Genomic DNA, 27082 nt, shown 5'->3' on the forward strand with positions numbered 1-27082 from the left:
ACACACACATACACACACACATACACACACCTCTATAAACATACATTCTATTGATTCCGTTTCTCTAGAGTCATAAATTTGAATTTAAAGTAAACAGTATGAAGTAGTAACATTTTACTACATCCTACTGGGATTGTTGGGAGGGGCGGGGGGAGGGGCGGGGGGAGGTGGGGGCCAGTCCTTGCTCCGAGAGCTTCCAAGATGGCGGCGGGCCGCTTCCAAAATGGGATGGTGGCAAGCCTCTTGTTCTCTGACCTGGGGTTCTTGGCCTCGCAGATTCCAAGGAATGAAATCTTGGGCCATGCGGTGAGTGTTATAGCTCTATTAGAAGCCGTGGGTCACGGAAGAGAACCGTGGAACCTAGCAACTAGTGTTCAGCTTGATTAGGATGAACCTGGGCACTTAGCCATGCAGGAACAGTGGCAAACCTCTAGCCTGATCTGGAGCGGCAATGGGTGCCTCACTGGATCAGGAGCGCAGCGGACACCCTGCGGGATCCAGAGGGGTGGAAGTCAGTGGCAGGTCTGTGACGGCAGCGAACAGCAGTGGTGGATGGCGAGCAAAAGCTCAGCTCCTGCAGTAACAAACACCGTGAGCAGAAGAGTGTGCAGTGGCAAGATTTAATAGAGTGAAAACAGAGCTCCCATACAAAGGGAGGGGACCCAAAGAGGGTAGCGGTTGCCAGCTGGAATGCCTGGGTTTATATCCTGATCATTGTCCCTCCCGCTGTGCTCTCAGGCTATAGATGATTGGCTATTTCTTTACCTCCTGTTTTTGCCTAATTAGCATTTTAGTGAGCTCTCTTTACTAGCTGATTGGTCGGGTGTGAGCTAAGTTGCAAGCCCCGTGTTTAAAGGTGAATGCAGTCACCTTCCTAGCTAGGCTTAGGGATTCTTAGTCGGCCTAGGAAATCCGGCTAGTCCAGTCTCTCAGGATGATTTGAGTATCAGTAAAGATGATAACTACAATAGATTGAAACATACAAAATATGTTTAACTCTGTTAGTTCATAATGTTACTAAAACACAACAACGGCTCGTTGTTCATCATGGTAGGGTACTAGAAAACCAACTTATTATTTGGAAAGCTGTTAATAAAAAGGAAGATGTAAGCATTTATCCTGCCTTTGCTTTTGAACTGTACTCCTGGGAGCTATATAGCAGGCAAGGGGAACTTTCTTTTTATTCTAGCTGATAAAAGAAAGACTAATAGAATTATAATGTCACCATTTCACAATCCTTAACAAATTAATGCATTTAGAAATTAAGCACCAACATCTGCTGACATAATACAACAAGAGATAAACAGACATTAGGGCCTCCTGATGAAATCACACCACATCCATCAAGTACCCTCGCCAAAGACAACCAAATCTGAATCCCTTCAAACGTCTTAGATTCAGTTACCAATTTAAGAACAGAGACTTGAAGAATGTGCTAAAGAATACCACAAAGTTGCTATCAGCAAAAGCCAGTATGTTTCTAGAGGACATATGACCTGCTCCTTCAACAAATAAATTACACAGGAAAAAAAGAGGGCCAGGCGCGGTGGTGTGATCCTGTAGTCCCAGTTTCTCAGGAGTCTGAGGTGGGAGGATTGCTTGAGCCCAGGAGTTCAAGAATGCAGTTAGCCATGATTGCACCACTTCACTTCAGCCTGGGTGACAGAGTGTGAGATCTTGTCTCAAAAAAGGAAAAAAAAAAAAAAAAAAAAGGAAAGAAAAAAAAGAAGAGATGGAGGGAAAGCCCAGAAATTTAGAAAGAACTAAGAAACGTGATGAATCACAACAAGTAGACTTTACTTGGATCTTGATTCAAACAAATTTAAAAATTATTATATTTGCTGGCTGCGATGGCTCATGCCTGTAATCCCAGTACTTTGGGAGGCCGAAGTGGGAGGACTGCTTGAGCCCAGGAGTTCGAGACCAGCCTGAGCAACATAGTAAGACTTTGTCTCTACAAAAACAAAATTAAAAATTAGCCAGGTGTGGTAGCATGTACATGTAGTTCCAGCTACTTGGGAAACTGAGATAGGAGGAAGGCTTGGGCCCAGGAGGTTGAGGCTGTAGTAAGCCATGATCACATCACTGCACTCCAGCCTGGGTGACAGAGTGAAATCTTATCTCAAAAAAAAATTATATTTATGAGCCAGTTGGAATTTTGAACAATAGATATTTGATGGCATTAAGTAATTATTATCAAATGTTTTAGATATAATAATGGTATTATGGGTTTTTTTTTGAGATTCATCTTTTAGAGGTATATCCTGAAATATTTATGGAGGAAATGATATGGTATGATGTGTGGTATTTGCCTTAAAATTATATAGGATAAAAAAATTCAGTGGAATATAGATAAAATGAGATAGGTTATAAGTAAGATTCTTGAAGCTGAGAGATGGGTCAAAAGGGTTCATTGAAAGTTTCCGTTACATAAAGTTGGTTATTTTTGAAAAACAATCTCTGACTCTTAGTGCAGAACTCTTTCCACCACTCCGTTAAATTGGTCATGGAAAACAGCAACCAAAATTCCAGAATTTTCTACTTTTTTATTTTAATGGGGTTCCCAAAACAAGGGACAAAGGCAGTGGTTAAAATGCTGGTACTGGGAGTTCATGAACTCTTTTTTCTCATCTGACTTTGCCAAGGACTTCCTATGTGGTCTTTAGCAAGATCAGATTTTTTTGTCTTGATTTGGTCACTCTCCAAAAGTGGTTAGAGGTCGAAATGCACATTATGACTTAGAACGCAGCAGTTCTAGCCAAGGAGGGCTCTGCTATTTGCATGAAGATGACTCACTACTCTATCTTAGGAAAAAAATATATCAGCTTTTAAATAACTATCAATACAATGCATTAGATGACAAATGTAAAATGAAAATCTTCATAGAGAAAAAATAAAAATGCTTTATATGAAAGGCTGTTATAGACCAAAGCTTTGTAAGTAACCATATAATTGACTCAAAATAGTAGGACTGTTTTTCACTTTAATGTAAGATCTCATGGTTGGGGGTCTCTACAACTACTTTTTTCATGGTTTTCTTGTTTTTTATATGAAAGATAATATTAATATTTTCTACACTGGTTCTAATCTATGGTTTACATTAATTTCTTGTATAAAGGGCTGCTCACACTTAGATTTTGAGTTTTCAATACCAATACCCTTGCAAACAAATGAAAAGCAATAATCATTTGATGGTAAGACATATGTGCTGTTTTTACTTGTCTTGCCCCAGAAATAAATGAGGTGGTAAAGTAAATGGAATCAACTTTCTCTTTTACCCACCTGGCATCAATTGTTTCTAACTCCAAGCATCTAGCTGAAGATGATTTGTCAGCCAAAGAGGTTGAGGGTTATCCCAGAATTCTCAGTTGCTTATATCACAACTAGACAATACCCTTCTCTGCAGAGGTCCAGTCTCCATACTAATCCTCTACCATATATTTGGACAGATACACTTTCTCAACCACAAACATATGCCTACTCTAATTTTCTTTCTCATATCTGCAAGTTATTTTGCCCAAGATATATATTTTCATCTGTTTCACATTTAGATAGCCTCCCTCAGTGTAAGCTTTAAAATGCTGTCATGGCTTTCGGAAGATTATTACAAGTAAAAGAAAAGTACATGCCAGATAATTATAAATCAGAACTTTTACATACCAGATAGGAGGAAGAAGAGAAAGGGAAGGAGAGGAGTGAAAGCAAAATGCACACATCAGAAAGTTTTGAAACATCTGCAACTCACAAAAATTAATGGTGAATAACATTGTTTGGAATTCCTTGTCCTAGAATATCAAGATAAAATGCTGGTATCTGAACAGAATGCACACAAGATCCTGAGCACATTCAACTAAGCCACACTTAGACCTCTGATGTTGACCTTAGCCCCATATCATGTAGGGCATGATGTTATACTTCCAAAGATAGCTCACTTTCTTTTCTTTTCTTTCTTTTTTTTTTTTGAGACAGAGTCTTGCTCTGTTGCCCAGGCTGGAGTGCAGTGGCGCAATCTCGGCTTACTGCAAGCTCCACCTTCTGGGCTCACACCATTCTCCTGCCTCAGCCTCCCGAGTAGCTGGGACTACAGGCGCCCACCACCACGCCCAGCTAATTTTTTCTATTTTTAGTAGAGACGGGGTTTCACCATGTTAGCCAGGATGGTCTCGATCTCCTGACCTTGTGATCCGCCTGCCTCGGCCTCCCAAAGTGCTGGGATTACAGGCCTGAGCCACCGTGCCGGGCAGATAGCTCACTTTCTGATCATATGTTTGAAGAGCTCACAGGGGCTTGTGCATTTTGCAGCTAATAAATGTTTCCAGTTAAGCAAAATGATTTCTTCTGCAACTGTGAAATAACTTTTTAGGGTTAGACAGTTGACATTTTGGAGATAGTCCTCCATATACATATACATTCTGCTTTCTTTCCATATTCTTACTTTCCAGCCCAAGATTCATAGTCTTAATTTTGTTTGGATATCTGAATTTCTTCTCGGTGTTTAACCCACAGATGCCCATTAATTTTTGTGAGTTGTGGATGTCACAAAACTTTGTGATGCATCCATTTTGCTTTCACTCCTCCCTCCTGTAATGTGTGTAATAGCTCTGTTTTCTAATTGTCTGGTAGGTACTTTTCTCTCTATTCTAAAAAAGTTTCTAATAGCCGTGACAGTGTTTCTTACAGTTTGTCTGCCCTCCTTCCACACCCCACCTCCCATAATCTCAGCAAAAAGGGTTCAGGATTCACCAGCTGTTCCCTCTCTGCCCAGCCCAGCCTGTTTAAGGAGCAGCACTTGCAGCATGTGCCGAAGAAGTCCAAAGGCCCTCATCTGCTCCACCTGACCATTTCCAAAACTCAACCTCAGAAACTGGGCGCTTCTTTATCCCCACCATTGTCAATTCATTGAATACCTACCTACAAGTTCTGTTGTCCTTGAAGCTACTCTGTGTTTAGCCAGTCCTTCCCAAACCCAGTTTTTCAGGATCTCAGAATCAACCTAGTTTATATGCTCTTAAATCTTCCTCCTCCAGAAAAGTCCCCCATTTAACCTAAATGCACGGTCTTGACTTTACCAAATGCCTTCTCGTGGTAGGGCAGGTTCTACTTGGTGACCAGGACCATGCAGGGCATTCTCCCAGGGCCTAAACCCAACCCAGATCTCGGACTTTCCCTAGATTCTGGCACAAGTCAAAAACAGAATCCCAAAGCTGAGAATGCATAGAATTACCTAGGGGTTACTTGTTAAACAGCAGATTCCTGGCCCGGCACGGTGGCTCATGCCTGTAATCCCAGCACTTTGGGAGGCTGAGGCGGGTGGATCACAAGGTCAGGAGTTCAAGACCAGCCTGGCCAAGATGGTGAAACCCCGTCTCTACTAAAAATACAAAAAACTAGCCAGGCGTGGTGGTGGGCACCTGTAATCCCAGCTACTCAGGAGGCTGAGGCAGAGAATTGCTTGAACCCAGGAGGCGGAGATTGCAGTGAGGCGAGATCACGCCACTGCCCTCCAGCCTAGGTGACAGAGCAAGACTCCATCTCAAAAAAAAATGCAGATTCCTGGAACCTCCTTCAGAGATTCTAATCCGTAAAATCTTGGTTGGATCCTAGAAATCTGTATTTCTCTGAAGCCCCTCAGATATATCTGTTCCCAGTGATACAAGGACCATACTTTGAAAAATGCAGATGGTGTGATGTCAATTATCAAGTGACATATTTAAGATGCCTGAGGGAAAAGCCACTTTGCATGAAAACAAAGTCAATTAAAATAGCTTTATGACAGGTTAGCTTTGCCATAAGACATTATCAGGATTTTGATGCTCCCTCCTTTGTTCGTGGCTGTCCAAACCTCCCTCCCTCTTTGGCTCCTGGCCTTGGTTTGGGACCTCTGAGCTGGGGCTCATGCCTTTTGTTATGTATCCTTAGCTTTGCCTCTCGACCTCGATTATGCTAGGAAATCACGTTGTGCTAGGAAAACCTCCAGAATTCCAGGTCACTAATATGCGTATGTGGAAATTACTCCCATATCCGGCTCCTTCCCCTTCCTCTTTCAGGCACAAATGACACAGCACTTGTCAACTGCCTGTGCTTGGAAGGAGCCGTGGGATTAATCCTGGCTAATGAAACATGAGCAGAAGTGACATGTGTGGGATTCCCTTTAGTTTCTCTTCTTCCACCTCCGCTTCCTGGCCACGTATTCCAGATGGTGCAGCGATGAGCTGGTGGAGCCTTCATCAGCCCAAGTCCTTCAGAGACTATGTGGAGCAATATTTGCTGATTTACCTGGAACATGTAGTGTGAGCAAGAAAGAAACTGTGCTGGATGAATCCACTGAGATTTAGGGGTAGTTTGCTATCACAGAAAACCAAAGTCTATTCTGACTAATATGCATTGGTAATGTACTTTAATGGAGTTTCCCCAAAACCACCTCTATCCTTGCTTATTTAGTTGATGGCTGCTGACAGTCTTAAATAATTCAGTATATGGTGAGGCAGGCAATGTAATAAATTCTCTTTATTTAGTGGTAATGGTTGGAGGAGCACCTAATAAATGTACTTAAGTAGATACATCTTTAGTTTGAGACAGATATATTCAGCGGAATCTCTTCCTGACCAATTAGACTGTGAGCTCTTTGAATCTGACTAACACAGAGCTGATGGATTATTGAGCATTTATCTTTTAATAAATCTCAACCAGATTTGGGATCCAGCAGTCATCACTTGCACTAACTCTAACCTGTGCTGAATTTTCCACATTTCTTCTGGATAGTCTCTGTTGTGTAGACACATAACCTTAGTGTATCTTGTAAGTTCAGAAAAACATTAGGATCTGTCCTGATAAAACACCTTAAAATGACTGAGTCACATTTTTTTTCATTTAACTCTGCTAGATGTGGCATGAAAGCAGGGGGCAGTCACAGACCTGCAGAGCCTTTTAAGTTTCACTCCTGTGGATTTGTATTCTGTGTGTCCTCCTTAAAAGCTTTCATTGCCCATACAAGGCGAGCTAGGTTGTCTGATTGTCCTTGTTTTACCTTTGCAAATGCTTCAATTGTGCAGCTGGAAGAATGGCCTCTGAACAGATTCTTCTGGAGTGATCATCTGATTCCTGGCCCAGAGCAAGATGCAAACTGGCAATTTTCTTTTGTTGTCTCTACCCCCTCCTCTGTCTCCATCCCCCAACTCCAAATCGTTAGTTGCATTTGAAAGTTGTTTTTTCTTCCTTTTTTTTCTTTCCTCCCTAGTTGTATGCACTCCTAGTCTGGCTGACTTTCTGGGCTCTGATCCAGCTTAGTTTAACATTGTTTATGCCTTTCAGAGCCTTCTTGGGAGATTGGTGCTTTAATTAAGAACATATTGATTTTAGACACTAGAAAATGTCATCTGACCCAAAATATCTCTCCATGTTAAACCTCCTCAACAGTTTTCTCACTGAACCATAATCACTCCCTAAAAATAATCACAGTCTATTTTGAGCATATTTACACTTTTGAATGTAGCTTTGCTTATAGCACTCAATCAACACATTTAGTACACCTTGGCTAAAATATTCTCCTCACCATAGTTTTCTAGTTTTTTTCCTTTTCCTACATTTTAGTTCATTTTTATCTCCAAGAAATCTTTAGTTCAATAGCCACTAAAGACACATCTAAGATTAAAAGGGGACAATTACCTTGGAATATAATAGTTGTTTTTAATAACTTGTCATACTTTAAATCTTAACCTATCTCAAGACAATTTGAATTTCATGCTAACTAATTATCTGGCAAGCTCCTGATTTGTGACCTATCAGTGTCACCCTTCACAAATATCTTTTCCTTCTTAATATTTCCTTCCTTAGTATTTTAAAATAGGTAATTCTAATTCCAATATCAAAATGGGAAAAATATATGAATGATCAGGTAATTGACTAAATAAGGCAAACAAAGAAAAACGTATTGTCTTGGTTTGGGTTCCCTAGCCCAGACAGAGATCCTGAGACAAGGATTCAAGTTCAAGTTGTTTACTTGGGAGATGATCCTAGAAAACACTGACAGGAAGTGGGGAAGTGAAATAGGGAAAGGAAGGAAGCCAGCAAAGGGTACCTCAAGCCATTTCCTTTGTGGGCAACTGGGATTCAGTCCTGCCAGGGAGCTCTGGGAGACAGTGTAAAACATTCCCCAGAGTTACCGCACCTAACAAGCGGGATATTTACCCCTCAACAGGGTGCCACTGGGCACCTATACCTCAACTTGGTTGCTCCTTGGAGTGTTAATTCTCTGGCACTTCCTGCTACTCTTGCACAGCTTCTTCCTGCTGTTAAACCAAAGAAACACTCTCAGCAGTCACAGTGATCTGGACAGGAGACAGGGAAATGCTGGAAAGAAGAGGGCAGTTCCCTGGCAAATGCCCCTCCCTCAAGCCTGGAAACCTGCGGCCCTAAATGGGAACAGGCATTCCTGTTTTTGCACCCAAAAGTTGACTTTTGGCCCACCACACCCCCTATCATGTACCCATACCCCAAACCCCTGGCTCCACAAGGAGACGAACAGAAGAGCAGAAGAATGGCAGCACGGCATGACAGAAGAGAAGGAGCGTCTGAATGCCGAGAAGATTTTGGCTGGGGACATTTGGAGAGGAGGTGGGCCACTGGACAGCCAACCTCCAGAAGAAGATCATCTTTCCAGTTCATTCTGCTTCTAGCTCCCCATCCATCCTGCTGAGAGCCATCTCCACCACTCAATAAAATCCCCGCATTCATCCTTCAAGTCCATGTGCCACCGGATTCTTCCTGGACTCCGGACAATCACCTGGGTACCAAGAGGGCACTGACCTGGTTAACACTTAAGTCATCCACGAACAGCAAGGCTAAAGGAGCGCACCATGACACACGCCCACTTGGGCTTTGGGAGTCACAGGCTTCCACCCCTGGACACTGCTGTGGGGCCAGAGCCCAGGGGCGCTTGCCCTGGCTCCCGTACCTGCCCATATGCGTGCCGCCTCTCCCATAAGGGGTTTGAGCACACACAGTGGAGCCACACCTCTGTTGCACATCCTGTGTTGGGGGAGTCAGGAACTTTCCTGTTTCAACAGGTCCTCTGAGTAAGCAGCCAGTGGCTACAGAGGTGGAAGCTGGAGGATATGGAAGGCCTCACAGTGCCTGCTATTCCTATTAAAAGATGATCAGTCTCACTAGTAATCAAATACATGCATATTAAAATAACAATGAAATATTATTTTTGACATATTTTGACATAATTTCGACATATTAGAATGGAAAAGATTTTCTTTCCAAAGAGGAGAATGTTGGAAAACTGGCACTTATATACTACTGGCAAGAGTAAAAGTACAATCTTTCTGTAAAGGCAATTTGGAATGTGAATCAAAAGCCTTAAAATTGTGCTTCTCTTTGATCCAGAAAGTCTGCTTCTAAGAATGTATTCTGAGAGGATAATTAGGCCAGTCTGCAGTGTTCACTGAATCATGTTAAAAAAGACAAATAACTATAAAAATATAAATGTCTAATAGTAAGTGATTGGTTAATCCCTCATTCATCCATCTAATCCATCCATCCAGTAGAATATAATGCAGGCATTTAAGCTGATTCAGCAGAAGTGATTACCTGGAAATATTTTCACAATATACTGATAAGTGGAAACATCAAATGCTCTATTTTGTTTAAATATATATGAGTGTGTTATGCATATGTGAAAAATTCTGGAAAGACAAAAACCAAAATGCTAAAGGCAGCTATTGCTGATCAGTAGAAATACAGGTATTTAAAAATTGTTTTGATAGCTTTTTGTAATTTCAGAGCTATTTATAATAGTGTTAAAGAAAGCATATATAGTTTATGAGGTTTCTATATAAAGGCCACTTAGGATGCAATAAATGTTACATTAAAAATGTCAGGCTGTGCGTGGTGGCTCACACCTGTAATCCCAACACTTTGGGAGGCTGAGGTGGGTAGATTGCTTGAGGCCAGGAGTTTGAGGCCAGCCTGGGTAATATGGCGAGACCCTGTCTCTACAAAAAAATAACAGTTAGCCAGGCATGCTGGCTAATTTGTGGTCCCAGCTACTCCAAAGGCTGAGGTAGAAGGATTACCTGAGCCTGAGAGGTCGAGGCTGCAGGGAGCCATGATCATGCCACTGCATTCTAGCCTGGGTGACAGAGTGAGACCCTGTTTAAAAAAAAAAAAATTATTTGTATAAAATAAATGTAGAATGATAATTTACTTGTGAAAGTCACCCCTATAAACTGAAAGCATAAGATACACATCATCTCATCTTAAATAAATGCTTTTGTTAAATGAAAATCACTTGATTCTTTTCTAGAAAAATGCCACTTAGCATTATCCCTTTTCCCTATACAGAAATATGGGTCATCATAACTTTGTCTTGAGTAAAGTTATAGCTCATGTAATTTTGCAGTTTGGAGGAAAAACTTATAGCGGGAAACAAAAATGGAAGTAGATTGTGTTTAAAACTTTCGTTGTATATCCTGTAGTTAGAAACATGATATAGCAACCGAAACATGTTTTCTCAGAAGATCAAAAAGACGTAGAAGTAATGATCAAAATTTTATGACTCTTTATGGTCTAAAATCACGGTTTTATACCTTATCCAATTTGTTTCTCACCAAAAACTCTTTGGGGTTACGTTATTACTATCCCTATATCACAGGTGAAATCTCTGAGGGCTAAGTTTTAAATAATTTTTTTCTACCTTAGCTAAAAAAGCTTCTGTCTTAGGAATCAGAGATTTTTCTGATTCTTAAGCTCATTTCTTTTCCCTTTCAATACTGGGCATGAGATTTGGAGTCACACGGCTTGGCCCTTGTCCCAGGCTCTCTTAGCTGGGTTATGCATGAGCCCAAGTTCCCTTATGGGTAAAATAAGGATAATAATATATACAGATTAGGGCAGTTGTTCCCAAACTGTAGAATGCATATGATTCACTTGGAGAGCCTGTTAAAGCACAAATTCCTGGGCTCCATCTCCAAGATTTCTGAACCAGTAGGTCTGGAATGGAATCTGAGAATGTGTGTTTCTTACAAGTTATCCGGTCATGCTAATGCTGCTGGTCTAAGGACAATACTTTGAGAACCAGTGGCCTAGGGTATATTAACTTTTGCTTCTACTGAGAGGTTTGTTTGTTTGTTTTTTTAATCTGTCCATGGCATTCAAATCACAATTTGGATTATAAATTGTTCATATATTTTCTGTGGCTGTAGATTTTTTTTATGTCTTTTTTTTTTCTTTTTTTTTTGAGACAGAGTCTCATCTGTTGTCCAGGATGGAATGCAGTGGCACAAACACAGCTGAACCTCCTGGGCTCAAAGGATCACCCCGCCTCAGCCTCCTAAGTAGCTGGGACCACAGGTGCATGTCACCATGCCCAGCTAATTTTCTTTTTTAAAAAATCTTTTGTAGAGATAGGGTCTCACCATGTTGCTCAGGCTGGCCTCAAACTCCTGGGCTGAAGCAATCCTCCTACCTTAGCCTCCCAAGGTGCTGGGATTACAAGCATGAGCCACTACACCTGGCCTTTTAATGTCATTTTTAACTGTTTCAGACTTTCCCCAAAATAAGTCTTTGCTATGTTGTGCTTTTATGTTGGAATTATGAATAATATCACTAATATGAAAATTATTTGGGGGTACGAATAGTGTTTATAGTTACCATTGTTGATAATAAAAAAAAGTAAGCTAAAGACTTTGATTTGTCTTCAGAAATGAAGAAAATAATGTGTGAGGTACCCACCCCAAATTGCACACTGTATCACTCAGGACTGCTGCTTATCAGCCTCTCTCCATCATAAAGCCTCAGGTGGAAGTTTCATTGTCAGGGAAACAGAGAAGAAATAAAGCAGAGTGACCGGAATATGCACTGCTTATTTCTTCCTTTATTTTTTTCCAGCTACCCCTGGAACTTGAAAGTAATTGGACAATCTTCCCATTCTGGAAGAAATCTTCATATTTGGGTTGTAGATCACAGACTCTCCAACAGAGAAGTGGGCCTAAGTCAGAAAATTGTACTATGTGTGGGCTGGGCGCAGTGGCTTACAACTGTAATCCCAGCACTTTGGGAGGCAGAGGCAGGAGGATTGCTTGAGTCCAGGAGTTCAAGATCAGCCTGGGCAACATGGTGAAAGCTCATCTCCACAAAAAAATACAAAAGTTAGCCAGGCGTAGTGGCATGTACCTGTAATCCCAGCTATATGGGAGGCTGAGATGAGAGGATCACTTGAGCCCGGGAGGTGGAGGTTGCAGTGAGCCGAGATGGCGTCACTGCACTCCAGCCTGGGTAACAAAATGAGATCCTATCTCAAAAAAACAACAAAGAAAAGAAAATTGTACTACTTGTATGATAGTGATATGATACCCTCTGCCTATGAATCCCATGGCTCAACACAGAACTTGTTTTTGTTTGTCCTAAGTGCAGGTTGCTCAAGTTTCTAAAGAGAATATCCTAGCATGTTAAAAACAAAGCGATTTTTTAATTTGTCCTTACAATTCATTAACTTTGTGTCTTGTTAGCCTTTACCTTTTTAAGATGAAGGGTGCTAAATCTTTTCATATTTTTAAACATGAAAATAAACAATCGGCTGCTATTCACAGTCCTAAAATGTGCTAAATGAGTTTTCAACCAAGTAGATATAAAAATCTTAAGATTGATATTATTTGCCTGTGGAGACAGTTGTTCTTAGTGATAGAAGATGAAACTGACTGTTGAGGTTCAATGGTTGGCCCCAGGCCCCAAAAGCTTTCAAAATTAGATCAAGGACCAGAAACTTCTGATGCTTAGTCTTTTACTTTGAAAGAGAAGCAGAAGAGAACATCTGGAACCTTAGGGAGATTTATGTATTCTTTCTCGACAATGGGGTCCATTTATTAGCTAATATACTTTCTCTATTTCTAATCATGGAGACCATTTAGCTATTTGAGCTTTCCAATACTTCATTTTTACAATGCCATGTGTTCTTTGTTTAGCTTGTTTGAAATAGCTTAGGAAGGGGATTTCATGTCTTGTAGCTATCTAATTTAGAATTGCCCTTTCATTTCTACCAGTAATTTTTAGTATAATACATTAATCAAAGTTGTCTCATTTATTTCCTCTTGTTATTTCTTTCTTTTCACATGACTTTTTTCTTTGCCTACCTCTTGCACAAAGAGCCAAATAAAAGCCCACAAAAAACATTCAATGTGCACTAATTAAAATAATAAAAATGTTAGGACAATATGTTATTTATTTCTAGGCTTTCTGTACTAAAAATAATAATACCTTGAAATTTTTTTTTTTTTTTTTTTTGAGATGGAGTCTCGCTCTGTTGCCCAGGCTGGAGTGCAGTGGCTCGATCTTGGCTCACTGCAAGCTCTGCCTCCCAGGTTCACACCATTCTCCTGCCTCAGCCTCCCGAGTAGCTGGGACTACAGGCACCTGCCACCACGCCTGGCTAATTTTTTGTATTTTTTTAGTAGAGATGGGGTTTCACTGTGTTAGCCAGGATGGTTTCGATCTCCTGACCTTGTGATCCACCCGCCTCGGCCTCCTAAAGTGCTGGGATTACAGGCGTGAGCCACCACGCCCGGCCAATACCTTGAATTTATGCTGTAACTCAAGGCACTGTTGCAGATATTTATCTTTCTATTATTTTCAGGAGGGAGAAATATTTATTACAGTCCTGATTTTGTAGGTGGAGAATGAATGATTTGTCCAGAGTTTCAGAGTTAGAGTGGTGGAGGTGAGACAAAAGGATTTTGTAAGGATTTACTAAGATGAGGATTTCTTGATGCTCATCTTAGTATTCTTTGTAGTATATTTTGTTGCTGTAATTGCAAGAAGATGCTTTTATAACATAATAATAGACATTTCAAAGAAACATTGGTCCTAGTACTGGTTGTAGATTATGTTTTATTCTTTGCAGAAGCTTTATGTAGGTTTTTTTCCAACAATTTCAAATGAATTTTGGTTGTCTATTTAGATTTACTTAGAAAATTACAGATGGCATGGAATTCTGTGCAGTGGTAGGTTATAGCATCATGACCAGCCTACCCTGGCAGATGTGTCAAATAACCTCTGGAGTGTTTTCCTTCCTACTTCTTTTTAGGTTATTGAAATATTCATATGGAGTAAACTAAAGCTCACCATGTGAGTTTTTCCTACGGGTGGCTGTTGTCTTTTAAAAACAAGGAGTTATGAGGAAGGTTTGAACATGGCTTATTGTGGATAGTCAGTCACAATTACATTCAAAGCACAGAAAAATGTGGTCCAAGTCAATAACTTTCCTACTCATGATCCTGTCCTACCACAGGGCCTATGAATTTCAATCATAATTTCTTTGGAACAAGACATCTATTGCTCAAACGTTATCCACTAAGGATGATGGATAAAAATAATAGTTAAGATTTTTGTATTAATGTATCATATTACATTTCATCTCATGGGTGAGCTCTGTGGTTGAGAAGGTTGAATAAAATGAGATCTACAATCAAGAGGCTTACGTAGCTAAGAAACAGTGTGAACTCACAGGGCACCTGGTAGTTTAGAAGGTGGGAAGGAAAACAAAAGTCAGGCACAAGTCACAGACAAACACTCCCATGGTAGCCCACCCTGCCTGAGTCCCAGAAGGTCAAACAATCTGTGATATGAGAAATGTGTCTAATAGAAGCTAGCATGAAAAGTTAAAGTATAATTTTTTTTTCAACCTAACAGAAGCTGGTAGATTGTAACTAATTTTATTTTGAAGCAAGTATAGTCTCTTAGTCTTTGTCATCGTGATGTATAAGAACATCAAATAGTCGATGATGAGGCTGGGCATGGTGGCACATTCCTGTAATCCTAGCACTTTGGGAGGCTAAGGCAGGGGGATCACGTGAGGCCAGGAGTTCCAGACCAGCCTGGGCAGCATCAAGAGACCTAGTCTCTTAAAAGAAAAAGTCAATGGTGAAATATGAAACAATATAAGGCATAGAAAATGGTGTTTTGATTAGAATGGATACTTGTAAGTAAACTTTGGTAAAACAGAGTCCCATTCTCCTCACCCCCACCTCAGTGAAGCGTCTTTTGCTCTACCTGAAGAGCATACATGTAGCTGCTTTAATTCAGTTCAATTCAATTCATTTCAAACATTTTGGGGATGTTCACTTTGTGCTTGCTTCAGAGATAGGAAGCAAGAGCTATTGGCCAAACATGGAAGAGAAGCCCAGTGTCTCCTAAAGCAGATGGTAACTTGAAAGACTATGAGCAACCTCTTCCAGAGAGAGACACAATGTATAGGGATAACATTTCTTTGGTTTTCTCTAGTTTGTAAAGAAAATATTGCCAGTGTTTGCTACCTTGGTAGTGTACATGAAAATAGTTTTAAAAAGAACAAGATAAATGTATAGTCAATAAACATGAGAAAAGATGCTCAACATTATTATCATCAGGAAAACACAAATGTAAGTAACAAAAAGATCACTACTCATCCACTAGAATGGTGAAAATTAAAAACACTGATAATACTGTGTTGGTGAGGATGTGGGGCAACTGCAATGCTCATGTATTTATCATATAACTAAGCCAATTCTACTGCAAGACTTACACTTGAATGATCCTAGCAGCTTTATTCATGATAGCCCAAACTGTAAACAACCCAAATGTTTATCATTGAATGAATGATATGGATGAAAAAATTTGGAACATCTTCACTCAATGGAAAACTAATCAGTAATAAAAATTAATTATTGATGCATGCAAAAATGGATGAATATTAAAAAAGATAAAATTGGGCTAATAAAGTTAGACCAAAAGAGTATATATTGTGTGATTCTATCGGTCTAAAGTAACAAGTACAGTCAAGTAATGTCAAGAAGCAGATGATTGGTTTCCTGGGGCTGGAAAATGGGGGTTGTTGGGGGATTGACTGCAAAAGACAGCAAGGGAATTTCTTTTTCTTTTCTTTCTTTCTTTTTTTAATTATATCTTAAGTTCTGGAATACATGTGCAGAACATGCAGGCTTGTTACATAGGTATACATGTGCCATAGTGGTTAGTTGCACCCATCAACCCGTCATCTACATTAGGTATTTCTCCTAATGCTCCCCTAGCCCCCCAACCCGCCGACAGGCCCCGGTGTGTGATGTTCCCCTCCCTGTGTCTATGTGTTCTCATTATTCAACTCCCACTTAGGAGTGAGAACATGTGGTGTTTGGTTTTCTGTTCCTGTATTAATTTGCCAAGAATGATGGTTTCCAGCTTCATCTGTGTCCCTGCAAAGGACATGAACTCATCCTTTTTTGTGGCTGCATAGTATTCCATGGTGTATATGTACCACATTTTCTTTATCTAGTCTATCATTGGTAGGAATTTCTTGAGTGATGGAAATATTGTATATCTCCAGTGGAATGGAGGGTATATGAGTATGTGCATTTGTCTCATCAACCTATACACAGAAAATGGTGCATATTGTATAAAAATTATACCTCAATCAAGTTGATTTAAAAAGAAAAATATCCATGTGTTTATTATGATTTGTGCACTAAAATTATTTCTCAAGATATCTCTTTCATAGAGGTTCCAAATTGGCCTCAACATAGTGCCAGGCAGAAAACTAGGTAACATTTTACAGTTTAACGAAAAGTAGGCCACTGATGCTGGGAGGAGCTGCTCTAACAATCTAACAAATGAGGCGATTCCCAGTCAGGCACTGGTTAAGGGTGATGGCTGGATTTAGGATGTCTGGATTTGCATCTAGCTCACCATCTGCCGGCTGAGTGACCTTGAGAAAGTTACTTAATTTCTCTAAGCATCCATTTTCTCATGTAAAAAATAGGGATAACAATGGTCTCAATGTTCCTGTGTGTACAAAGATTAAACTAGACAGCCTATGTGAAGAGCTCAGGGTATATAAAATTCTTCATCTATATGAGCTATTATTTCTGATTTCATCTCTCACAAGAACACGGAGATACAGAGGAGAAAGAACACAGGAAGGAGAAGTGTATGCAGCTTTATGCATCTGTTTATTCCTTGGTTTCCATTTTTCCTTCATGCTGAATGGAAGGCTCTTGTGAAAGGAATGTTGTCTTCCATTCCCAGAAGAATGGAAACTGGGGACGCTGTACTGAACCCGAGAGACTAGACTAAGGGAAGTGCAGGGCTGAGCTGTACTGCATTCCCAACTTGTCCTAATGATTTTGAGAAGCAGAAGAATTTAATGGCAGGCAGCTGATTTGCATCCATTTACCTGTCTTCACTGTGGCAGGTAATTCTGGGCCACGTCAGGCACAGGTAAATATAAAGCCCCACGGAAATATTATCTCATGCTCACATTTAAAATCACAAATCAAAAAATAAAATAAAATCACAAATCAAGGATCTGTGAATCATCTTGCAATCTGGTTACTTCACATTCTAGCATTATATTTAATGTCAAACTATCCAATATTTAAGATCCTTTATCACAATCAGTAGAGAATGGTGTGTGTTTGAGGGTAGTGTTGCTGCTGCTAAGTTAAAGAATGTGTCTGAGGAATGGAACTTTCCCTCCATTTGTCCTATCTGCTTCTTACTCAAGTATTTACAAATTTGGTTTAGATTTCTGAAGTCAAGTAAATAAATGAATTTTATAAAGTTTTTCTGTGAAAAAAAAAGAATAACAAGTGAAAACATTCTGGAAGACTCACTTATTCAGAAATACTTTATCAGTAGCTCAGCGGTGTGTGTGTGTGTGTGTGTGTGTGTGTGTGTTTATTGGACATTTTTATGGAGTTATTTGGCAGAGTTTGAAAACTCTGAGATATGAAAACTATCTGATCATTTTCTTTGCTTTGACAAATTCTGCCTGAGTCCCCTGTTCTTGAAGTCTTCAAATGAATGCATAATTATCTATAAGCTATTGCACACATTGGTTTGCAAAGGAGAAAAGGCAGGGAGTCAACTTTGCTTAAATGGAATGAATGTTCGTGATTGAATCCTTGTTGGTGTGTGTGCTTCCTGAATCCCTTAGAAGGCTGTGTTCCTAAGACAACATGGAAAATCAGAGGGGATGTTGCAACACATCACCCAAGGGAATGGAAATGTAAGTCTGAGTATAAAATTGAAGACGTCCATCTGTAGGAACAGTGAGTAACTCAGTGAGTGCCCTAAACCAAATGAAACCCAGGTCTTCCTTGGCGTACAGTCATCTGATCTCTATCTCTCTGGCTAAGTGATAATGTGAAGGAGGAGGCCTGAGCTAGCCCAGATTAATCAAGCATGAGAAACTGATTAATATTTTCTTATTTGTCACTTACTTCAGAATAGATTTTTCACATAAAAATATCTGGTTGGATAACTGTTTCAAGTAATATGTGTAAATTTAGTTTTTCTTGCTTGGGGTGTGATTGCTGAGACCTCTAAGAAATGTGAATGTTGGCCGGGAGTGGTGGTTTCACGCCTGTAATCCCAGCACTGTGGGAGGCTAAGGCAGGCAGATCATTTGAGGTTAGGAGTTCAAGACCAGCCTGGCCAACATGGTGAAACCCTGTCTCTACTAAAAATACAAAGAAATGAGCTGAGCATGGTGGTGCGTGCCTGTAATCCCAGCTACTGGGGAGGCTGAGGTATGAGAATCACTTGAACTCAGGAGGCAGAGGTTGCAGTTAGCTGAGATTGCGCCACTACACTCCAGCCTGGGTGACAGAGTGAGACCTTGTCTCCAAAAAAAAAAAAAAAAAAAAGGAAATGCAAATGTTGTTAGTAGAGAAAAACCTAAATTAAATAAGAATTGAATATATAGGGAAACCGTTTAGTCAACTATGAAAAAAACGCTAGCTCCTGGCTTTGGACCTGTAACAAAAAAACTTTAACCCACAATCAGGAGATTCTGCAGATAATTTTAGTTCTGCTACTAACGTTTATGAATAAATTGTGTCAACTCTCTGAACAGTTTCCTTTTCTTGAAAATAAGAAGGAGAGTGTTGGACTTTGTGGTCTCAAACTCTATGATTCTGCCCTGTCTAAACATAGATGAAGTTTTCAAGATCTCTATCTATGGGGAGGCAGGATGATGCCTTCATAACTTTACTGTGGTTTCTCAATCTTTTCATTAACTAATTATGTCATATTTAAGCTCTACAAAAGATGTAAGCAATTAAACTGTAGTTATATGGTTATATAAACTGTCAGGTAAAGATACACGGATATAATTTCAATTCTTCCTGCACTCCCACTTCAGCTACACATAGAGGAATCTTTAATTAAAGGCATAAACCTAAGGCAACAAGAAGACTGTGGTTGCCTCCCCAACCGAACAGTAGGAACCTACCTAGAAATCACACAAAACAGACGCTTGATTTTTCGTGTAACACCTAGGCTTAGTTTGTGTTTTGTTGCACATGCCAATGGGAATCCACAGCAGCAGCATTTTAGAAGCTGGAAAGCCGATGCAGTAGTGGGTACTGACTCAGTAAACCTGAGAATGCCAAATCCTAAACTGACGCTGTGAAGATGAGAACCAACTGGATTTATGCCACACAACCCTGAAAAGCCTCAAAATAGGTGGCGTCAGGGCTGCAGGAGTAGAAGGGAAGTGAGGCTAAAAGAGGACTAAGTCCCGGCCTGGTGGCTCATACCTGTAATCCTAACACTTTGGGAGGCCGAGGCAGGCGGACTACCTGAGTTCAGGAGTTCGAGACCAGCCTGGGCAACACGGTGAAACCCCATCTCTACTAAAATACAAAAAATTAGCTGGGCGTGGTGGCAGGTCCCTGTAGTCCCAGCTACTTGGGAGGCTGAGGCAGGAGAATTGCTTGAACCCAGGAGGCGGAGGTTGCAGTGAGCCAAGATCATGCCACTGCATTCTAGCCTGGGTGACAGAGCAAGACTCCGTCTCCAAAAAAAAAAAGAGGACTAGCAGTAGTGGCTCAGTGGCTCACACCTGTAACCCCAGCACTTTGGGAGGCTGAGGCTAGCAGAATACTTGAACCCAGGAATTTGAGATCAGTCTGGGCAACAAAGTGAAACCCTGTCTCTACTAAATAAATAAATAAATAAATAAATAAATAAATAAATAAAGCCAAGCATGGTGGCATGCACCCATAGTCCCTGCTACTCGTGAAGCTGAGCTGGGAAGATTGCTTGAGCCCAGGAGGTCCAGGCTGCAGTGAGCCGTGTTCGTGCTACTGCACTCTATAGCCTGGGTGACAGAGTGAGACCCTATCTCAAATAAGTAAATAAGTAAAATAAATAAAGAGGATTGGTTGAGAGCTAAAGTGGATTGGTAAGAAGCATGCAGATCCCTAGGCTCCCCTGGCACTGCATACCCTAGGAGAGAACCTCATTACCACCACAACTGAAGGCTGCATGCTGGTTTTTTGCAGATGGTAAACAAGAGCCTCTGATCTGGAGGAAACCAGACACAATCGATTGAGAGCATGAATACCATACATAAAAGAAGGCGATTAAATAAATGTATGTATTGATTGTTGAATCCCCTTAACTCTCTCCTCCCACTTAGCTCCCCAAATACTGGCAGCTGAAAAAAATGAGTGAATGAAGAAGGAGGAAGCCAGGGGAGACAAAGAAACAGGATACACAACACAGGGGAAAGATGAAAAGGACTCCCCAGGATGGTGGTGAAGAGAGTTGCTAGGATGACAACTGTGCATCAAGCTTAAAACCCAGATTGGAGCGTGTGAACCAAGAGATATATATGGCATCATCTTTTTGAACTAAAAATGGCTGCGTGAACCTGGCCCAGTGTTTATCTGTACTTGGCTTTCCTGGGTCACATGTAGATGAAGTACCGATCTCTTCTCCTTCTTGGGTCAGCTGAGGACAGTCATTCCCTCCATAGGGATGTTCTGCTCGGACCTGTTCCTGAGAGCTGGAGGTTGGTCAAGGTAAGAATAGAAGTAGGAAATATGAGGAAGATTCCTGCCTGTTGTCTAGCACCTGGCCTATACTGTCCTCTGCCAAATGTCCCAGTTGTGGTGAGCCCAGTGTTTCTCAGAACTCGCTCATTCCCTGGTCCACCGACTCCTCCAGAAGGTTTTGGTAAACTGTCAGTCAAGATAAAGTCAGACGATGAGCCAGAATCATAGTCTTTTTCTGTAAATTCCTCTTTTCCACTTAACATTATTTTAATGAAATTTATCCATGTTTATATATTTAGGTCCAGTTCATTGATTTTCTCAGCCATATAGTATTCTATTGTTTGACTACACTGCAACTTACAAATCTTCCTTTTGTTGGTTGTACTTTTAGGTTGCTTTTTTTTTTACGTTATGAGCAGGCAAGGCTTTTAGGAATATCTTTCCACATATCTCCCCGTGAACATGTAATATTCTCTCTGGTATTTACTTAGAGGGGTACTGCTGGATTATAACATTTGTTCCTAACAATGAATATTTCCAAATTTTCCTAAGTACCTTTTACCAATTTTTACTCCCACCAGCAATGTATAAAAGCTTCTGGTGCTCTGCATTCTCACGAATACCTGGTCTTGCCAGACTTTAATTGAAGTTTGCTAGTTAAATGTGTGTAAAATGTTTCCTCATTGTTATTTTCATTTATATGTGACCAATGAGATTGAACTTTTTTTAATGTCTATTAGCCATTATATGTCGTATTATATGACTTGCCTATTCATATTTTTGGTACACTTTTCTATTTTGTTATTCAATGTTTTTCTCTAGATTTGAGAAAGTTATATATTATATATTCAAAATTTATATATTTTGAATTATAATCCTTTATTGGTTATAGTGTTGCAGATATCTTGTCCCAGAGTATTGCCGTCTCCTTGATTTTTATTATAGTGTCTTATTTTGGGTAAACTTTTAAAAAATTAAAATATAATAGACATAAATGGGGGTAGAAATCTTAAGGGTATAGTTCTATAAATGTTTACAAATGAATCTACCTATGTAAAAATATTATGTGCCTTTTGATGATTTGTTTTGTTTTGTTTTGTTTTGTTTTGAGATTGAGTCTTGCTATTTTGCCCAGGCTGGACTTCAACTCCTGGGCTCAAGTGATCCTCTTGCTTCAGTCCCAAGTAGTTGGGATTACAGGTGTGCACCACCATGCTCAGCTCTTTTGATGCATTTTTAACAATGTAGTTGAATGAAAGAAACTTTCCATTTATGGTTTGTGAGTTTGTGTTTTGTTTAAGAAATTCTCCTTTATCCTAATGTCATAGACATGTTCTCTTACTTCTAAACACTTTAAATAGTTTTGGTTTTATTTCACTTCATGGATATGGAATGGGTATATGTGTGTGTGTGCATGTGCACATGTGCATACAATTTGAAGTAGTGATCCAGTTTTTTAATACGGATTTTATTCAAGTGCTATTTATTGGCCATCATTACCCTCTGATCTACAAATCACCACTTTCATGCATCAAGATTCCATATGTGTGTGGGTCTAATTTCTGGCCACTCTATTGTGTTCCATGGATCTCCTTGTCTGGCTTTGTGCTGTGAGGGAGAAAAAGATATTCCAGGAATATCGGCCCAATAAGCTGATTTTTTTTTGTTCTTGAGAACTGAACTAGATTATCATTTTTTTTTTCCTTTTAAAGTCTTCTCAGATCTTGTCAAAGATTCCAGGAATATCTTTTTCTCACCTATCAAAAAGTTCATTGTTGTGACACCTATAATAAAAAACAGATTAACAAGAGAAAAGCGTACACATTTATTTAATATAAGTTTTACAGAATTGTCTTTGGAAATGAAGCCCCCCGCCCCCACTGCCCACTGCCCAACCAAAGAAACCAGAGAAACCTGTGTATTTTTATGCTTAGGTTTGATGAAGAGTGGTCAGTCTTGCAGAAGTCTGATTGGACAAAAGGGGTATGATCTAATGGTAATAAACTGGGAGGAACTTAGCAAAGCCTGTCCAGATCCTTCTTGGCGACTTTGTGTCTTCAAGGGTAAAGACAGTTCTTTTCTCTGGGTATAGGGGAGGATACTTCTGGAATGAAGGTTTTATGAGCTACTTCAAGAGAGAAGGGTGAGGGAAAGGTGAGAATGACCTTCCTGCTTCTGCTGTTTCCTCAAAGGTCAAGGTGCCACATTTTAAGGTAGAATGTTCTGAACCCATCACTGCTAATACCCATGGCCTTAGTCGCTGTAACTTCATCATAAAATTTGATACTGGGTAGAGCAAAATTTGTTCCCTGTTTTGTGCCATAAATTCTCAATTGTGCACAGAAGCATGAAATCATTCAAATGGTTCTATGAACTCAGGTCAATGAAGGAGAAAACGTACCCGATTTGTAGTCACAGCGTCTAGCCCAGTTCTGGCCTATCTGGTTATGTGACTTTGAGCAGGTCATTCTTCTGTCTGGGCCTCAGCTTTGTTGTCTTAAAACATGTAAATCTGAATGGTTCCGTAGGGTCCCTTCCAACTCAGAAAATCCTGACTCTATCATACCAATTTCGTCTTATTTCTAACAATCTACCCCTATTGCCCAATAAGCCAATTTTTTTTTGTTCTTGAGAACTGAACTAGATTATCATTTTTGTTTCCTTTCAAAGTCTTCTCAGATCTTGTCAAATATCTTAAGTTCAGAAGAGAAACAACTGTCATTGATTTTTCATAAATGTCTCATCTATTTTGTTCGTACTTTCTAAAACAATTTGATTAACACAGAGATTTTAGTTGATCTCATTGGGACTGTAAAAATACCTCTTCCTCTTTCAGAATGGATTATTTCAAGAAGTGATTTAAATGAAAATCAGCATGTAGTTTTATCAGTCAGTTTCAACTAGACTTAGTAGAAGAAACGTTCCCATCCTTATAAAGCAAATGAGTTCTCTAGTGAAATGCTATAACTAGCATGCTTTAGGTTAAGAACTTTTTTTGGCCAGGCACGGTGGCTCACACCTGTAATCCCAGCACTTTGGGAGGCTGAGGCAGGCGGATCACAACATGAGGAGTTTGAGACCAGCCTGGCCAACTTGATGAAACCCCATCTCCACTAAAAAAATACAAAATTTAGCCTGGCGTGGTGGCGTGCGCTTGTAATCCCAGCTACTTGGGAGGCTGAGGCAGGAGAATTGCTTGAACCCGGGAGGCGGAGGTTGCAGTGAGCCAAGATTGCACCACTGCTCTCCAGCCTGGGCAAAAGAGCAAGACTCCATCTCAAAAAAAAAAAAAAAAAAAAGAATCATTCTCATTCATTTACATTTACAAAATGAATACTTAATTGGAGGGTCGGTATAATTATTTACACTACTGAAGGCTTAATTTTTTTTTAAAATGAGGATTCACTATGGAGTTCATTTAAAATATTATTTATTATATTGTTGAAAGTATGGCAAGACAGGTATGATGAAGTTAGGATTTTCTGAGTTGGAAAGGTCTTATGGGGCCAGTCAAATCTACATGTTTTAAGATGAGAAAGCTAAGGCCCAGAAAGGAGAGTGACTTATCCAAGGATTTAATTTAGAAGACTTTTCTGCCCAGAAATCTTTTCTGTGTGAAAAGTTGAAATTTATCTATGTGTTTTTGTTCATAATGTTAAATTACAATGTTATATACATTGAAGGGCAAAACTAGGTTTTGTAAAGTCTGAAGTAATTCAAGGGGTCCCTTTTGAAAAAAAAGGACCCCAAATTACAAATATAAAATTAAGTATAAAATAAAAAATATATGTATATATTTAGAATAGAAAAAATAGGCTGGGCGCAGTGGCTCACACCTGTAATCCCAGCACTTCGAGAGGCTAAGGTGGGGGATCACCTGAGGTCAGGAGTTCAAGACCAGCCTGGCCAACAGGGTGAAACCCTGTCTCTACAAAAATTAGCAAAAATTAGCCAGGCACGATGGTGGGTGTCCATAATCCCAGCTACTCGGGAGGCTGAGGCAGGAGAATCGCTTGAACCAGGGAGGTGGAGGTTGCAGTGAGCCAAGATTGCACCATTGCACTTTAGCCTGGGCGACAGAGTGAGACTCCGTCTCAAAAAAAAAAAAAAAAAAAAAAAAGAATAGAAAAAATTTCACAACATATTATGAAGATTTAGAATTCTGGTCCCTTTCTTCTGAGTTCTTTTTAGGCAATTTATCAGAAACACATATAGTAATGTTTCCAAGCACAGTCTGTCTTCCTCTCCCCACCTAGAATACTCTATAACTCCCAACAACTTCCAGAACTCATGGCTTCATTAGCTTTAAGGTAAATCTGCCTCTGCACACATCATACACATTATTTCACTAATTTTAAGAGTGATCAACAAAGTGAGAATCTGTGTAATGCAGAAAATAAAGAAATCTGTATTTCATTTTTATATCATAACTAAAAACTAAACTCACATTTGTTATAATGTATAATGGAACATATAGACGTTAGCTAAAAATAAGTATGAAGAAAAATGATACCTTTTATTCATTGTCAGTTATATACCAAATTTCAGATTTTAGATGAGGAAACAAAGTCTCATAAAAGTTAAGCAGCCTGTCCAAGGGGACCCAGGTATTTGCATTCTATTACCCCTACCTCCCACCAATGGTTCCAAAAATGACTCTTTTCAGTGCCTAGTGCAGAAGGTTCACAATGACAAATGAGGCCCCAGGGGTGAGCTCAGAAGCACAGAGCAGCTCCCCCAAAACACCAGCCTCATATCCCTTAGGAGATTTCCTAACAAAAATAGCAGACCCCACAGGTGGTTGAAGGTAGAGTTTGGGTAATTCCCCAGCATTTTAGTTATAAATACATTGTATAATGGCAGCCTGCTATGTACCTGTGTGCACTGATGCCACTGTATTTCCTCTTGGCTTGCGATTTTATCCTTTTTTATCAGCTAGTAGAATATAGTAACATATTCGGAACTTTGATTTCTAAGATCTAGCACACTGGATTATCTGAAGCCACATCAATGCCCATTTTCAATACCTGTGTGATGAAATTTATTTAATTTAAAAAGATTGCGTCTTATAAGCCTGGTGAGTATGTTGAGTGATCCAGAGTATGCTCAGAGTGGAGAAAACTAGTCCTGGTCCTGTCCCTATTAGTTATGTCCTGAAATTTGATGATTTTTCTCCTTTGGCTGCAAGCTACAAAATTCTTAACTCCTTGCAATGTAGGATCTTTGGCTATGAAATGAAAGTGTTACACCTAGGACTCTGAAACAGTCCGTGACTTTTATTTTATTTTATTTTATTTTTACAGAGGACTAATATATGGGAATGTTTATCCCAGTATTATTCATAGCGGTGGTAGGGGTGCTGGTGGTGGAAGTAGCCTAGTGAACCATACCAGGAGAATGGCTAGGTAATTTGTGTTGGATGGTTACCATGGGGTGTCATTCAACTATTAGAAGCACCAAACTGGATGCACATATTGCAAAGTAGACAGATCTTAAAAACATATGATATAGTGAAAGAAATAGGAACAATTGGTTCTATGGTACAATGTCATTAACATAAATTTAGAACATGCATTTTAACACAAAGTAACAGTATGCACTTCACAAGGATAACTGGTTATTTAAATACATATATCAAAGACATCAAGTGCTACAGTTGGGGCTGGAGATAAAGGAAGAAAGGGGATGGTGATGAAAAGAAGGACCTTGCATGAACCAATAAATATAGGGTGCCATAAAATAAAAGATATGATTAATTCCATCCTGTGCACTTGAGGTTAAAATTTCTTTCTTTCTTTCTTTTTCCTTCCTTCCTTCCTTCCTTCCTTCCTTCCTTCCTTCCTTCCTTCCTTCCTTTCTTTCTTTCGACTGAGTCTCACTCTGTCACCAGGCTGGAGTGCAGTGGGGCAATCTCGGCTCACTGAAACCTCCACCTCCCAGGTTCAAGCAATTCTCCTGCCTCAGCCTCCTGAGTAGCTGGGACTACAGGCATGTGCCACCATGCCCAGCTAATTTTTGTATTTTTAGTAGAAACAGGGTTTCACCATGTTGGCCAGGATGGTCTCGATCTCTTGACCTCATGATCCGCCTGCCTGGGCCTCCCAAAGTGCTGGAATTACAGGTGTGAGCCACTGCACCTGGCCCGAGGTTAAAATTTCAAAGTTGCTTGATCACTCAAGAATGACCATGGGCCAGGCGTGGTGGTGTATGCCTGTAATCAAAGCACTTTGGGAGGTTGAGGCAGGCGAATCACTTGAATCCAGGAGTTC

The 27082-nt window shown here is 40.0% G+C and overlaps 2 long non-coding RNA genes across 2 annotated transcripts in view, besides 5 other annotated features; one reads left to right on the forward strand and one right to left on the reverse strand.

Moving 5' to 3' along the window:
• The window catches only part of LOC107984238 (uncharacterized), a 55035-nt gene that overhangs the window by 19142 nt on the left and 8811 nt on the right, over positions 1 to 27082 (reverse strand). The gene's annotated exons all lie outside the window — the stretch shown is intronic.
• Positions 167 to 22623, forward strand: LOC124902438 (uncharacterized). Its single transcript, XR_007062157.1, has 2 exons — positions 167 to 306; positions 20456 to 22623. It is a non-coding gene; the product is annotated as an uncharacterized LOC124902438 (long non-coding RNA).
• Positions 8863 to 9157: a silencer, noted in NCBI's record as "tiled region #9763; HepG2 Repressive non-DNase unmatched - State 24:Quies, and K562 Repressive non-DNase unmatched - State 21:Repr". NCBI's record gives its function as "represses a minimal TATA promoter and a strong SV40 promoter by Sharpr-MPRA in HepG2 and K562 cells {active_cell/tissue: HepG2 | K562}" and the evidence as "EXISTENCE:reporter gene assay evidence [ECO:0000049][PMID:27701403]".
• Positions 20179 to 20680: an enhancer, noted in NCBI's record as "H3K4me1 hESC enhancer chr10:65444405-65444906 (GRCh37/hg19 assembly coordinates)". NCBI's record gives its function as "activates a minimal SCP1, AML or CMV promoter by ChIP-STARR-seq in primed H9 embryonic stem cells {active_cell/tissue: H9 hESC(primed)}" and the evidence as "EXISTENCE:reporter gene assay evidence [ECO:0000049][PMID:30033119]".
• Positions 20179 to 21180: a biological region, named in NCBI's record as "H3K4me1 hESC enhancers GRCh37_chr10:65444405-65444906 and GRCh37_chr10:65444907-65445406".
• Positions 20610 to 20810: a silencer, noted in NCBI's record as "peak966 fragment used in MPRA reporter construct". NCBI's record gives its function as "represses an SCP1 promoter by STARR-seq MPRAs in K562 erythroleukemia cells {active_cell/tissue: K562}" and the evidence as "EXISTENCE:reporter gene assay evidence [ECO:0000049][PMID:32103011]".
• Positions 20681 to 21180: an enhancer, noted in NCBI's record as "H3K4me1 hESC enhancer chr10:65444907-65445406 (GRCh37/hg19 assembly coordinates)". NCBI's record gives its function as "activates a minimal SCP1, AML or CMV promoter by ChIP-STARR-seq in primed H9 embryonic stem cells {active_cell/tissue: H9 hESC(primed)}" and the evidence as "EXISTENCE:reporter gene assay evidence [ECO:0000049][PMID:30033119]".

This window comes from Homo sapiens, chromosome 10, assembly GCF_000001405.40.
Source record: "Homo sapiens chromosome 10, GRCh38.p14 Primary Assembly".
Classification (NCBI taxonomy): domain Eukaryota; kingdom Metazoa; phylum Chordata; class Mammalia; order Primates; family Hominidae; genus Homo; species Homo sapiens.